Source organism: Homo sapiens, chromosome 10 (assembly GCF_000001405.40).
Source record: "Homo sapiens chromosome 10, GRCh38.p14 Primary Assembly".
Taxonomy (NCBI): Eukaryota; Metazoa; Chordata; class Mammalia; order Primates; family Hominidae; genus Homo; species Homo sapiens.
Genome location: NC_000010.11, coordinates 133,755,244 through 133,767,917, shown reverse-complemented (window position 1 = coordinate 133,767,917; position 12,674 = coordinate 133,755,244). Strand labels below are relative to the sequence as shown.

General features: G+C 59.1%; 2 pseudogenes; both read right to left on the bottom strand.

Moving 5' to 3' along the window:
- On the bottom strand, window positions 6,783-8,061 carry DUX4L15 (double homeobox 4 like 15 (pseudogene); annotated as a pseudogene).
- DUX4L14 (double homeobox 4 like 14 (pseudogene)) lies at window positions 10,082-11,360 on the bottom strand (annotated as a pseudogene).

The following is a 12,674-nucleotide window of genomic DNA, read 5'->3' as shown; positions in this document are numbered from 1 at the left end:
GAAAGGTTGATATAATTCTTTTAAAAGAACACTTGCGGTGTTTGAAGCGACAAAGGCTGCTGTGACAAAAAAGCAGTGAAAGGGAATTTTTTTTAAAAAAAGCAAACAACAACAACAAAAACCCCACAGAAAAGCAAACAACAAACAAACAAAAAACAGAGGAAGAAGTCAAACACCCTGAGCTATGACTACTTCAAGGAAGGGGCTACAAGAGGCAGTTGGAAATTCCATTTGCTTTGCAACTGTGGGTTTTCCAGCCTGCTTCCTTTCTAAAGTATATTACTCTGCTTTTGGTTCATGAAATTTTCAGTTTCTGTTTTCTGGAACAGCTATGTACTTTCTTTATCTATCATCTATCTATCTACCTTCCTATCATCTATCTATCTGTTTACTATCTGTCTTTTCTACCTTTTGCTATCAAAAGCTTGGGTCAAGCAGTATAGAATTCCAGTGTATGTTCACTCTACCATTTAAAACAAGAACTCTTGTAGGAATTCTCCATCACATCATAAACCTGAGCTTTCTAAAACAAGGTGTGGCAAACTACCATACATGGACTATGTCTGACACAGTCTGCGTTTGTAAGTAAAGTTGTAATGGGACACAGCCACATACATGTGTTATATAACGTCTCTGGCTACTTTCATGGTATAATGGAAGAGCTGAGTCATTGAGAGAGAGACCATATGGCTTGGAAAATTTAAAATATTTAACATTTAGCCCTTTGCAGAAAATATTTGCTGACTCTTGTTTTAAAAGATCTCTGTGGCCAGGCGTGGTGGCTCACGTCTGTAATCCCAGCACTTTGGGACGCCGAGGCTAGCGGATCACGAGGCCAGGAGATCAAGACCATCCTGGCTAACCCAGTGAAACCTCGTCTCTACTAAAAATACAAAAAAATTAGCCGGGTGTGGTGGCGGGCGACTGTAGTCCCAGCTACTCCAGAGGCTGAGGCAGGAGAATGGTGTGAACCTGGGAGGAGGAGCTTGCAGTGACCCGGGATCGTGTCACTGCATTCCAGCCCGGGCAACAGAGCAAGACTCCATCTCAAAAAAAAAAAGGATCTCTGTTTAGAATGCTACCTATTGCCTTCTGGATAGAATCACAACTCTTTACCACAAACAACACAGCTTCAGCCCTGCTTCTATATCCAGCCTCATCTATTTCTGCTCCTCCTCCTTATTTTCCTCCTGGACATGCTGATGGATTGTCAGCTTCCCAGATGTGTGAGAGTCTCTCCTGCCTTCCTAACATTCTCATGCTCTCCCTCTGCCTCTCAAGAAATTCCTGCCACATCTCTCAAGACAAATCCCTTCTTCATTCTTTAAGATGAAGCCCCTTTGCTCCTTCCTTAAGGATGTCTGTCTGGCTTCATTTTGGGGGACGTGCTCCTTCTGCATCTCCCAGAGCCAGCCTGTGTGTGTCAGCTACAACATTTCTTTGCATCTCTGTGTCATATATCACCAAATCTGCCTAAGCTTGAGTGAGTCACTGCATGACAATTTCAGACTCCACCAGCAATGTCCCCACTAACCACGAGGCTTAGACAGTTGTCCAGTATGCTGCGGGTTGTGGGGTGGTAGCAGTAACCAGCTGGTGAGCATCATTTCTTACATCAGAATCAAATCTGTAGATCTCTGCTATTCATAAGTATTTGGAGTTTAAAATTAACATATTTTCCTTAAAATAAGAACAAATGGCTTGAGTAGGCTTTTGGAACGTAGGATGTTTCCATTGGTTCATTTCTGTGTTCAGTATTCCCATATGAATCTAAACACTACTCTGCTATTAGTAGCTGTGTGACCCTGGGAAAGTCACTCAATCTCCCTCAGCTAAATTTTGTTGTGTGTGTAATGAGAAGAGAGTTGTGATTTGTATTTAGTGAATAAAAACAAACAAAAAGCATTTAGCTTTCTGGAACCTGGTATGTAGTAGAACCTCATGTAAATACTAGCTCTGTTGATAAAACTAGACCAAAAGAAGGTTTCAAGGTCAACAACAGTATGAGGCAGTGAAGAACATAGAGGAGAAGCTGCTTCTGCAGCCTGTAGCTCCTGGGGAACCGTTTTGTCCATGATTTAGCAGGAACACACTACCTTTCCATGAGGAGAAACTGTCCACAGAAACCAAGGCCATTCTTTGAAGACAAACATGTCTTAATAGCCTATACATTAAGTAATAGTGTAATATAAATAATAATTTATTATTAGTAATAATGTGAAATTATTTACACTACCCTAACCCTAAACCTAACCCCAATCCTAACCCTAACCCTAACCCTAAAACCTAACCCTAACCCTAACTGTAACCCATAACCCTAACCCTAACCCTAAACCTAACCCAGCCCTAACCCCTAACCCTAACCCCTAACCCTAACCAGTAACCCTAACCCTAACTCTTAACCTGAACCCGAATCCAAACTTGAACCTGAACCCTAAGCCTTACCCTAAGCCTAAGCCTAACCCCTAACCCTAACCCTAACCCTAAACCTAATGCTCACCCTAACCCTAACCCTCACCCTAACCCTCACCCTCACCATTGTGACATATTGCAGGAAACAAAATCCAGGTGATGTAACTCTTGTCTAGCCTCTGCCTACAGGAGGCATTGTGACATATCTCTACACTGATCACACAGGTGATGGAACTCTTGTCTAGGCTCTGCCTATGGGGGCACTGTGATAGATCTCTGCACTGATCACCCAAGTGATGTAATAATTGTCTACACTCTGTCTACGGCAGCTTTGACATATGTCTGCACTGATGACCCAGATGATGTAACTCTTGTCTAGTCTTTTCCTATGTGGGTTTTGTGACTTCTCTCTGCACTGATCGCCCAGATGATGTAACTTTTGTCTAGGCTCTGCTTACTTGGGGGATTGTGACATATCTCTGCAAAGATCACCCAGATGATGTAACTCTCCTCTAGGCTCTGCCTACTGGGGGCATTGTTGCATATCTCTGCACTGATCACCCAGGTGATGTAACTCTTGTGTTGGATCTGCCTATGGGGGCATTGCAACATATTTCTGCACTGATCACCCAGGTGATGTAACTCTTGTCTAGGCTCTGTCTACTGGGAGCATTGTGACATATTTCTGCACTGATCACCCAGGTGATAGGACTCTTGTCTAGGCTCTGCCTACTGGAGCATTGTGACATATCTCTGCCCTTATGACCCAGGTGATGTAACTCTTGTCTAGGCTCCGCCCACAGGGGGCATAGTGACATATCACCGTACTGATCATCCAGGTAATATAATTCTTATCTAGGCTCTGCCTACAGGGGGCATTGTGAAATATCTCTGCACTGATCATCTAGGTGATGTAACTCTTGTCTATACTCTGCCTGCAGGGACATTGTGAGATATCTCTGCACTGATCAACCAGGTGATGTAACTCTTGTCTAGGCTCTGCTTACGGGGGTATTGTGACATAGCTCTGCACTGATCACCTAAGTGATGTAACACTGGTGTAGGCTCTGCCTACATGGGCATTGTGACACATCTCTGAACTGATCAACCAAGTGATGTAACTCTTGTCTAGGCTCTGCCTATGGGGGCTTTGTGACATATCTCTGCACTGATCACCTTGGTGATGGGACTTTTGTCTACGCTCTGCCTATTGGGGCATTGTGACATATCTCTACACTGATCACCCAGGTGATGTAACTCTTGTGTTGGATCTGCCTATGGGGGCATTGCGACATATTTCTGCACTGATCACCCAGGGGATGGGACTGTTGTCTAGGCTCTGTGTATGGGGGCCTTGTCACATATCTCTGCACTGATCACCCAGGCGATGGAACACTTGTCTAGGCTCTGCCTACATGGGCATTGTGACACATCTCTGAACTGATCAACAAAGTGATGTAACTCTTGTCTAGGCTCTGCCTACAGGGGCTTTGTGACATATCTCTGCACTGATCACCCAGGTGATGGGACTTTTGTCAAGGATATGGCTACAGGGACATTGTGACATATCTCTGCACTGATCACCCAGGTGATGTAACCCTTGTCTAGGCTCTGCCAAAAAGGGGCATTGTGACATAACTCTGCACTGATCACCCAGGTGATGGGACTCTTGTCTAGGCTCTGCCTACAGGGGCATTGTGATATATCTCTGCAGTGATCACGCAGGTGATGTAACTCTTGTCTATATCTGCCTACTGGCGGCATTGTGGCATATTTCTGCACTGATCACCCAGGTGATGGACTCTTGTCTTGGATCTGCCTATGGGGGCATAGTGACATAACTCTGCAATGATCACTCATGTGATGTAACGCTTGTCTAAGCTGTGCCTAAAGGGGAATTGTGACACATATCTCCACTGATCACCCAGGTGATGTAACAATTTTCTGGGATTTGTCTACAGGGGGCTTTGTGACATATCTTTGCACTGATCACCCAGGAGATGTAACTCTTGTCTAGACTCGACCTACAGGGGCTTTGTGACATATTTCTGCACTGATAACCCAGGTGATGTAACTCTTGTCTAGGCTCTGCCTACAGGGGCTTTGTGACATATTTCTGTACTGATCACCCAGGTGATGTAACTCTTGTCTAGGCCCCACCTACAGGGGGTATTGTGACGTATCTCTGCAATGATCACCCAGGTGATGTAACACTCATCTAGGCTCTGCCTACAGGGGCGTTTTGACATAGCTCTGCACAGATCATCTAGGTGATGTAACTCTTGTCCACTCTCTGCCTACAGGGGGCATTGTGAAATATCTCTGCACTGATCACCCAGGTGATGGGACTCTTCTCTATACTCTGCCTAGAGGGGGATTTGTGACATATCTCTGCACTGATCACCCAGGTGATGGAAGTCTTGCCTAGGCTCTGTCTATGGGGGCATTGTGTCAAATATCTGCACTGATCACCCAGGTGAAGTAACTCTTGTCTAGGCTCTGTCTACAGGGATTTTTGTGACATATCACTGCACTGATCACCTAGGTGATGTAAACCTTGTATGGGCTTTGCCTACAGAAGGCTTTGTGACATATCTATGCACTGATCTCTGAGGTGATTCAACTCTTGTCTAGGCACTGCCTACAGGGGACACTGGTACATATCTCTGCACTGATCACCCAGGTGATGGACGCTTGTCTTAGATCTGCCTACATGGACATTCTGACACATCTCTGAACTGATCAACCAAGTGATGAAACTCTTGTCTAGGCTCTGCCTACAGGGGCTTTGTGACACATCTCTGCACTGATCATCCTGAGGAGGGAACTCTTGTCTACGCTCTGCCTACAGGAGGCTTTATGACTAATAATTACACTGATAAACTAGGTGATGTAACACTTGTCTAGGCTCTGCCTACACGGGAATTCTCACATATCTCTGCACTGATAACCTAGGTGATGTAACACTTGTCTAGGCCCTGCCTACAAGGGAATTCTCACGTATCTCTGCACTGATCCCCCAGGTGATGTAACTCCTGTCTAGGTTCAGCCTACAGGAGCGTTTTGACATATCTCTGCACTGATCACCCAGATGATGTAACACTTGTCTCAGCTCTGCCTACAGGGGCATTGTGACAGATCTCTCCAATGCTCACTCAGGAGATGTAAAAATTGTCTGGGCTTTGTCTACAGGGGGCTTTGTGATATATATTTCCACTGATCAAACAGGTGATGTAACCCTTGTCAAGGTTTGGCTTATAGGGGCTTTGTGAGATATCTCTGCACTGATCAGCCCAGGCAGGGAACACTTGCCTACACTCTGCCTACAGGAGGCTTTATGACTTATCCCTGCACTGATCACTAGGTGATGTAACAATTGTCTAGGCTCTGTCTACACGAGAATTTTAACATATCTCTACACTGATCACCTAAGTGATGTAACCATTCTCTAGGTTCAGTCTACTATGGAGTTCTGAAACACATCTGCACTGATCACCGAAGTTATGTAAATCAATTTCAGGCTTTTTCTACAGGGGATATTGTGACATATCTCTGCACTGATCACACAAAAGATGCAAATCCTCTATAGGATCCACAGGGAGGGGGAATTTTGATATATCTCTGAACTAATCATCCAGGAGATGTAACTCTAATCCAGGTTTGCCTAGACAGCCTCGGAAGGTGGGGGGAGAGATTCAGCCAGAATTTCACGGACGAACAAGGGCACAGAGAGGCCAGCGAGCTCCCTTGCACGTCACCCGGGGTGCGCACTGCGCGCAGGTCTAGCCAGGAAGCGGGCAAAGACAGACAGAGGTATGCTTTTGACCGCCAGGCGCTCCGTGCTGGCACCTGGGCGGCTGCAGGGGCCCGGGCGGGCGGGCGACGGTGGCGCGGGGGCGCAGAGGAGGCGAGCCGCCGGAGCGGTGTCAGGCCCGGACGCTGCGCGGGGCCCGGTGTTTCGCGGGACGGGGGTCTCCACCCAGCCCAGGGGACGACGCGTTTTCCGGGGGCGGGGGGTGGGGGTGGGGAGGGGGCGGTCAGGCGGCGGGGTGGGCTGGTGGAGAGGCAGGAGAGCTCTGCCCGGGCTGCTCCCACAGCCCAGGCGGCTGCCCGCAAACCCGCGCGTGCGCAGTAGGCGGCCCACCTGCTGGTACCTGGGCCGGCTCTGGGATCCCCGGGATGCCCAGGAAAGAATGGCAGTTCTCCGCTGTGTGGAGTCTCTCACCGGGCCTAGGCCTAGAAGGCAGGAATCCCAGGCCGGTCAGCCCGGTGGAGGGGGCGGGGCGGAGACACGCCCCTCCGTAGCCAGCCAGGCGTTCCCCGCGAAAGAGAGGCCACCGCCCTGCCCCGAACCACCCGACCCCGTCCCAACCCCGCGTCCTAAAGCTCCTCCAGCAGAGCCCGGTATTCTTCCTCGCTGAGGGGTGCTTCCAGCGAGGCGGCCTCTTCCGAGGCCTCCAGCTCCCCCGGGGCCTCCGTTTCTAGGAGAGGTTGCGCCTGCTGCAGAAACTCCGGGCTCGCCAGGAGCTCATCCAGCAGCAGGCCGCAGGGGAGTGCAGACCAGGGCGCCGGCTCCTGGAGCGCCTGGGAGGGCGCCGGGATGCCTTGCATCTGCCCCTGCCGCGCGGAGGCGTCCGGGGGCGCGGGCTGGGGAGGTGGAGCTGCCCCGGCTTGGGGTTCCCACGCCGCCCCGGCGACCTGGGGACCCCGGCCCCAGCCCCACCACGGACTCCCCTGGGACGTGGGTGGCGCAAGCACCCCTTGGCCCTGCGGCCCCGCTTGAGCGGGCCCAGGCTGTGCCACCGCGCAGGGGCCCGGCAGGCCGTCGCGCTGCGGGTCCCGGTCCTCCCGGCTTTTGCCCGGGTGCGGAGGCCACCGAGGAGCCTGAGGGTGGGAGAGCGCCCCGTCCGGAGGAGCCGGGGCGGCGTAGGCGAAATCCCCGCGCGCCGGGGCAGGTTGGGAGATCCCCTCTGCCGGCGCGGCCTGGCTGGGCTGCAGCGCGGGGGCGGCCCTCGCTGCCTGGCTCACGAAAGCCCCCTGTGGGAGAGCCCCAGGCGCGCAGGGCACGTGGGGTGCGGGAAGCCCCGTTCCCCACGCGCCGGTGTGGGCGAAGGCGACCCACGAGGGAGCAGGGTGACCCCCGCCGGGGGCCGCGCTGCACAGGCCGCCTGCCTGCGCGGGCGCCCTGCCACCCTGTCCCGGGTGCCTGGCCCTTCGATTCTGAAACCAGATCTGAATCCTGGACTCCGGGAGGCCCGTCTCTCTGGCCAGCTCCTCCCGGGCGGCGATGCCTGGAAAGCGATCCTTCTCAAAGGCTCGGAGGAGCAGGGCGGTCTGGGATCCGGTGACGGCGGTCCGCTTTCGCCGGCCTTCTGGCGGGCCGCGTCTCCCGGGCCAGGGCCGAGATTCCCGCCGGTGCTGCCTCAGCTGGCGTGACCTCTCATTCTGAAACCAAATCTGGACCCTGGGCTCCGGAATGCCGATGGCCTGGGCCAGCCGTTCTCTGGTGGCGATGCCCGGGTACGGGTTCCGCTCAAAGCAGGCTCGCAGGGCCTCGCTTTGGCTCGGGGTCCAAACGAGTCTCCGTCGCCGTCCTCGTCCCCGGGCTTCCGCGGGGAGGGTGCTGTCCGAAGGTGTCGGGAGGGCCATCGCGGTGAGCCCCGGCCGCAATTTCACGGACGGACGCGGGCAGAGAGAGGCCGGCGGGCTCCCGTGCACCTCAGCCGGACTGTGCACTGCGGCAGGTGCAGCCAGGAGGCCTGCCCGGACAGCCAGCCAGCCAGCCAGCCGCCCTTGTAAAGGCCCACGGGCAGGCAGGCTCCACCCCTTCATGAATGGCGGTGAGCCCCCCTGGGACAGCCCGCCCCACCCCGGAAGGGACCCAGGGCGTCGAGGCCTGGGGCCGGCCGGCGGGGTGGTGGTGGTGGTGGTGGTGGGGGGGGGGTGGTGGTGGGGGAGGGCGTGGTGGCGGTGGTGGTGGTGGGGCCGGAGAGACGAAGAGGAAGGTGGAGAGGGGGGAGGGGGGAGGGGGGCGCGTTTCGGGGGCCGGCTCTCCGGACCTCTCCAGGGATCCCGCGGGAACGGGAAGCCGCTCTCTGGGCTCCCACGCGTCGGCAGCAGGGAGAAACCAGCCTGGGAGGGTGGAGGGGAGTGTGGAACTGAACCTCCGTGGGAGTCTTGAGTGTGCCAGGCCCTCTCTCCGTGAAGGAGGCAATGCCTGTGGGCGTCGCCGTTGCCGGGACGGTCTCGCACACGCAGGCGTGTGGCTCTCGTTCATTTCCACGTAGAAGACCAGAGCGAGACCCCAGAGAGGAGATGCCTCCCCGGCGTGATGGCCTGACGATGGATTCCCGCGTGCGGCAACGTGGGGAGTCTGCAGTGTGGCCGGTTTGGAACCTGGCAAGGAGAGCGAAGGCACCGTGCCGGGCTTGCACCCTCCCCTGCATGTTTCCGGGTGCCCGCAGAGCTCCGGGAGCAAACAGTCGGCATGGCCAGCCTTTCGGGGGCCGGAGAGACGTGAGCAACAGGCCGCCTTGCAGAGGGCAAAGCCACGCGGAAACCAAAATCACGCCTCCGTCGTCCTGCGTGTGGCTCCTCCGTGGCCGGGGCTGTCGGCCTCGCGCCGCGTTGCAGGGCTCAGCCTGGGGATGTGCGGTCTGTGAACCGCGCGGGTGAAAACCCGACGGCAACCCGAGTCCCGGTCTTTTGTCCCGGAGGAAACCGCCCACTCCCTGGGCCCCGGAACCGGGGCGAATGGGTGGTGCCCCGCCGGCCGGCGCGGCGGCTGTGGGCCCAGCCCTCAGCCCGCGCCGGACGCTGACCGTTTTCCCGGAGGGCGGGGGTCCCGCTACTCCCGGAGGCCGAAGACCGCTTTTCCTCCCTGCCTTCCTCCCCCCGTCCCCGGCTCCCTCCCGCCCGCCCCCAGTCCCTGCGTCGCTCTGTCTTTCCCTCCGTTCCTCCCTGCCTCCCTGCCTCCCTGCCTCCCTCCCTCCCTCCTAACGTCCCTCCGCCCATCCTTCCGCCCCTCTAGGTCTCCCGTTCCTCTCTCCATCTCTGCCCGCCTTCCCTCCCGCCTGGAACGCTCAGCGTCCCCGGTGTGCGCCGGGCCTGGGGTCTGCGTTCCGCCGCCAGGCGCTCCGTGCTGGCACCTGGGCGGCTGCAGGGGCCCGGGCGGGCGGGCGACGGTGGCGCGGGGGCGCAGAGGAGGCGAGCCGCCGGAGCGGTGTCAGGCCCGGACGCTGCGCGGGGCCCGGTGTTTCGCGGGACGGGGGTCTCCACCCAGCCCAGGGGACGACGCGTTTTCCGGGGGCGGGGGGTGGGGGTGGGGAGGGGGCGGTCAGGCGGCGGGGTGGGCTGGTGGAGAGGCAGGAGAGCTCTGCCCGGGCTGCTCCCACAGCCCAGGCGGCTGCCCGCAAACCCGCGCGTGCGCAGTAGGCGGCCCACCTGCTGGTACCTGGGCCGGCTCTGGGATCCCCGGGATGCCCAGGAAAGAATGGCAGTTCTCCGCTGTGTGGAGTCTCTCACCGGGCCTAGGCCTAGAAGGCAGGAATCCCAGGCCGGTCAGCCCGGTGGAGGGGGCGGGGCGGAGACACGCCCCTCCGTAGCCAGCCAGGCGTTCCCCGCGAAAGAGAGGCCACCGCCCTGCCCCGAACCACCCGACCCCGTCCCAACCCCGCGTCCTAAAGCTCCTCCAGCAGAGCCCGGTATTCTTCCTCGCTGAGGGGTGCTTCCAGCGAGGCGGCCTCTTCCGAGGCCTCCAGCTCCCCCGGGGCCTCCGTTTCTAGGAGAGGTTGCGCCTGCTGCAGAAACTCCGGGCTCGCCAGGAGCTCATCCAGCAGCAGGCCGCAGGGGAGTGCAGACCAGGGCGCCGGCTCCTGGAGCGCCTGGGAGGGCGCCGGGATGCCTTGCATCTGCCCCTGCCGCGCGGAGGCGTCCGGGGGCGCGGGCTGGGGAGGTGGAGCTGCCCCGGCTTGGGGTTCCCACGCCGCCCCGGCGACCTGGGGACCCCGGCCCCAGCCCCACCACGGACTCCCCTGGGACGTGGGTGGCGCAAGCACCCCTTGGCCCTGCGGCCCCGCTTGAGCGGGCCCAGGCTGTGCCACCGCGCAGGGGCCCGGCAGGCCGTCGCGCTGCGGGTCCCGGTCCTCCCGGCTTTTGCCCGGGTGCGGAGGCCACCGAGGAGCCTGAGGGTGGGAGAGCGCCCCGTCCGGAGGAGCCGGGGCGGCGTAGGCGAAATCCCCGCGCGCCGGGGCAGGTTGGGAGATCCCCTCTGCCGGCGCGGCCTGGCTGGGCTGCAGCGCGGGGGCGGCCCTCGCTGCCTGGCTCACGAAAGCCCCCTGTGGGAGAGCCCCAGGCGCGCAGGGCACGTGGGGTGCGGGAAGCCCCGTTCCCCACGCGCCGGTGTGGGCGAAGGCGACCCACGAGGGAGCAGGGTGACCCCCGCCGGGGGCCGCGCTGCACAGGCCGCCTGCCTGCGCGGGCGCCCTGCCACCCTGTCCCGGGTGCCTGGCCCTTCGATTCTGAAACCAGATCTGAATCCTGGACTCCGGGAGGCCCGTCTCTCTGGCCAGCTCCTCCCGGGCGGCGATGCCTGGAAAGCGATCCTTCTCAAAGGCTCGGAGGAGCAGGGCGGTCTGGGATCCGGTGACGGCGGTCCGCTTTCGCCGGCCTTCTGGCGGGCCGCGTCTCCCGGGCCAGGGCCGAGATTCCCGCCGGTGCTGCCTCAGCTGGCGTGACCTCTCATTCTGAAACCAAATCTGGACCCTGGGCTCCGGAATGCCGATGGCCTGGGCCAGCCGTTCTCTGGTGGCGATGCCCGGGTACGGGTTCCGCTCAAAGCAGGCTCGCAGGGCCTCGCTTTGGCTCGGGGTCCAAACGAGTCTCCGTCGCCGTCCTCGTCCCCGGGCTTCCGCGGGGAGGGTGCTGTCCGAAGGTGTCGGGAGGGCCATCGCGGTGAGCCCCGGCCGCAATTTCACGGACGGACGCGGGCAGAGAGAGGCCGGCGGGCTCCCGTGCACCTCAGCCGGACTGTGCACTGCGGCAGGTGCAGCCAGGAGGCCTGCCCGGACAGCCAGCCAGCCAGCCAGCCGCCCTTGTAAAGGCCCACGGGCAGGCAGGCTCCACCCCTTCATGAATGGCGGTGAGCCCCCCTGGGACAGCCCGCCCCACCCCGGAAGGGACCCAGGGCGTCGAGGCCTGGGGCCGGCCGGCGGGGTGGTGGTGGTGGTGGTGGTGGTGGTGGTGTGGGGTGGGGGGGGTGGTGGGGGAGGGCGTGGTGGCGGTGGTGGTGGTGGGGCCGGAGAGACGAAGAGGAAGGGGGAGAGGGGGGAGGGGGGAGGGGGGCGCGTTTCGGGGGCCGGCTCTCCGGACCTCTCCAGGGATCCCGCGGGAACGGGAAGCCGCTCTCTGGGCTCCCACGCGTCGGCAGCAGGGAGAAACCAGCCTGGGAGGGTGGAGGGGAGTGTGGAACTGAACCTCCGTGGGAGTCTTGAGTGTGCCAGGCCCTCTCTCCGTGAAGGAGGCAATGCCTGTGGGCGTCGCCGTTGCCGGGACGGTCTCGCACACGCAGGCGTGTGGCTCTCGTTCATTTCCACGTAGAAGACCAGAGCGAGACCCCAGAGAGGAGATGCCTCCCCGGCGTGATGGCCTGACGATGGATTCCCGCGTGCGGCAACGTGGGGAGTCTGCAGTGTGGCCGGTTTGGAACCTGGCAAGGAGAGCGAAGGCACCGTGCCGGGCTTGCACCCTCCCCTGCATGTTTCCGGGTGCCCGCAGAGCTCCGGGAGCAAACAGTCGGCATGGCCAGCCTTTCGGGGGCCGGAGAGACGTGAGCAACAGGCCGCCTTGCAGAGGGCAAAGCCACGCGGAAACCAAAATCACGCCTCCGTCGTCCTGCGTGTGGCTCCTCCGTGGCCGGGGCTGTCGGCCTCGCGCCGCGTTGCAGGGCTCAGCCTGGGGATGTGCGGTCTGTGAACCGCGCGGGTGAAAACCCGACGGCAACCCGAGTCCCGGTCTTTTGTCCCGGAGGAAACCGCCCACTCCCTGGGCCCCGGAACCGGGGCGAATGGGTGGTGCCCCGCCGGCCGGCGCGGCGGCTGTGGGCCCAGCCCTCAGCCCGCGCCGGACGCTGACCGTTTTCCCGGAGGGCGGGGGTCCCGCTACTCCCGGAGGCCGAAGACCGCTTTTCCTCCCTGCCTTCCTCCCCCCGTCCCCGGCTCCCTCCCGCCCGCCCCCAGTCCCTGCGTCGCTCTGTCTTTCCCTCC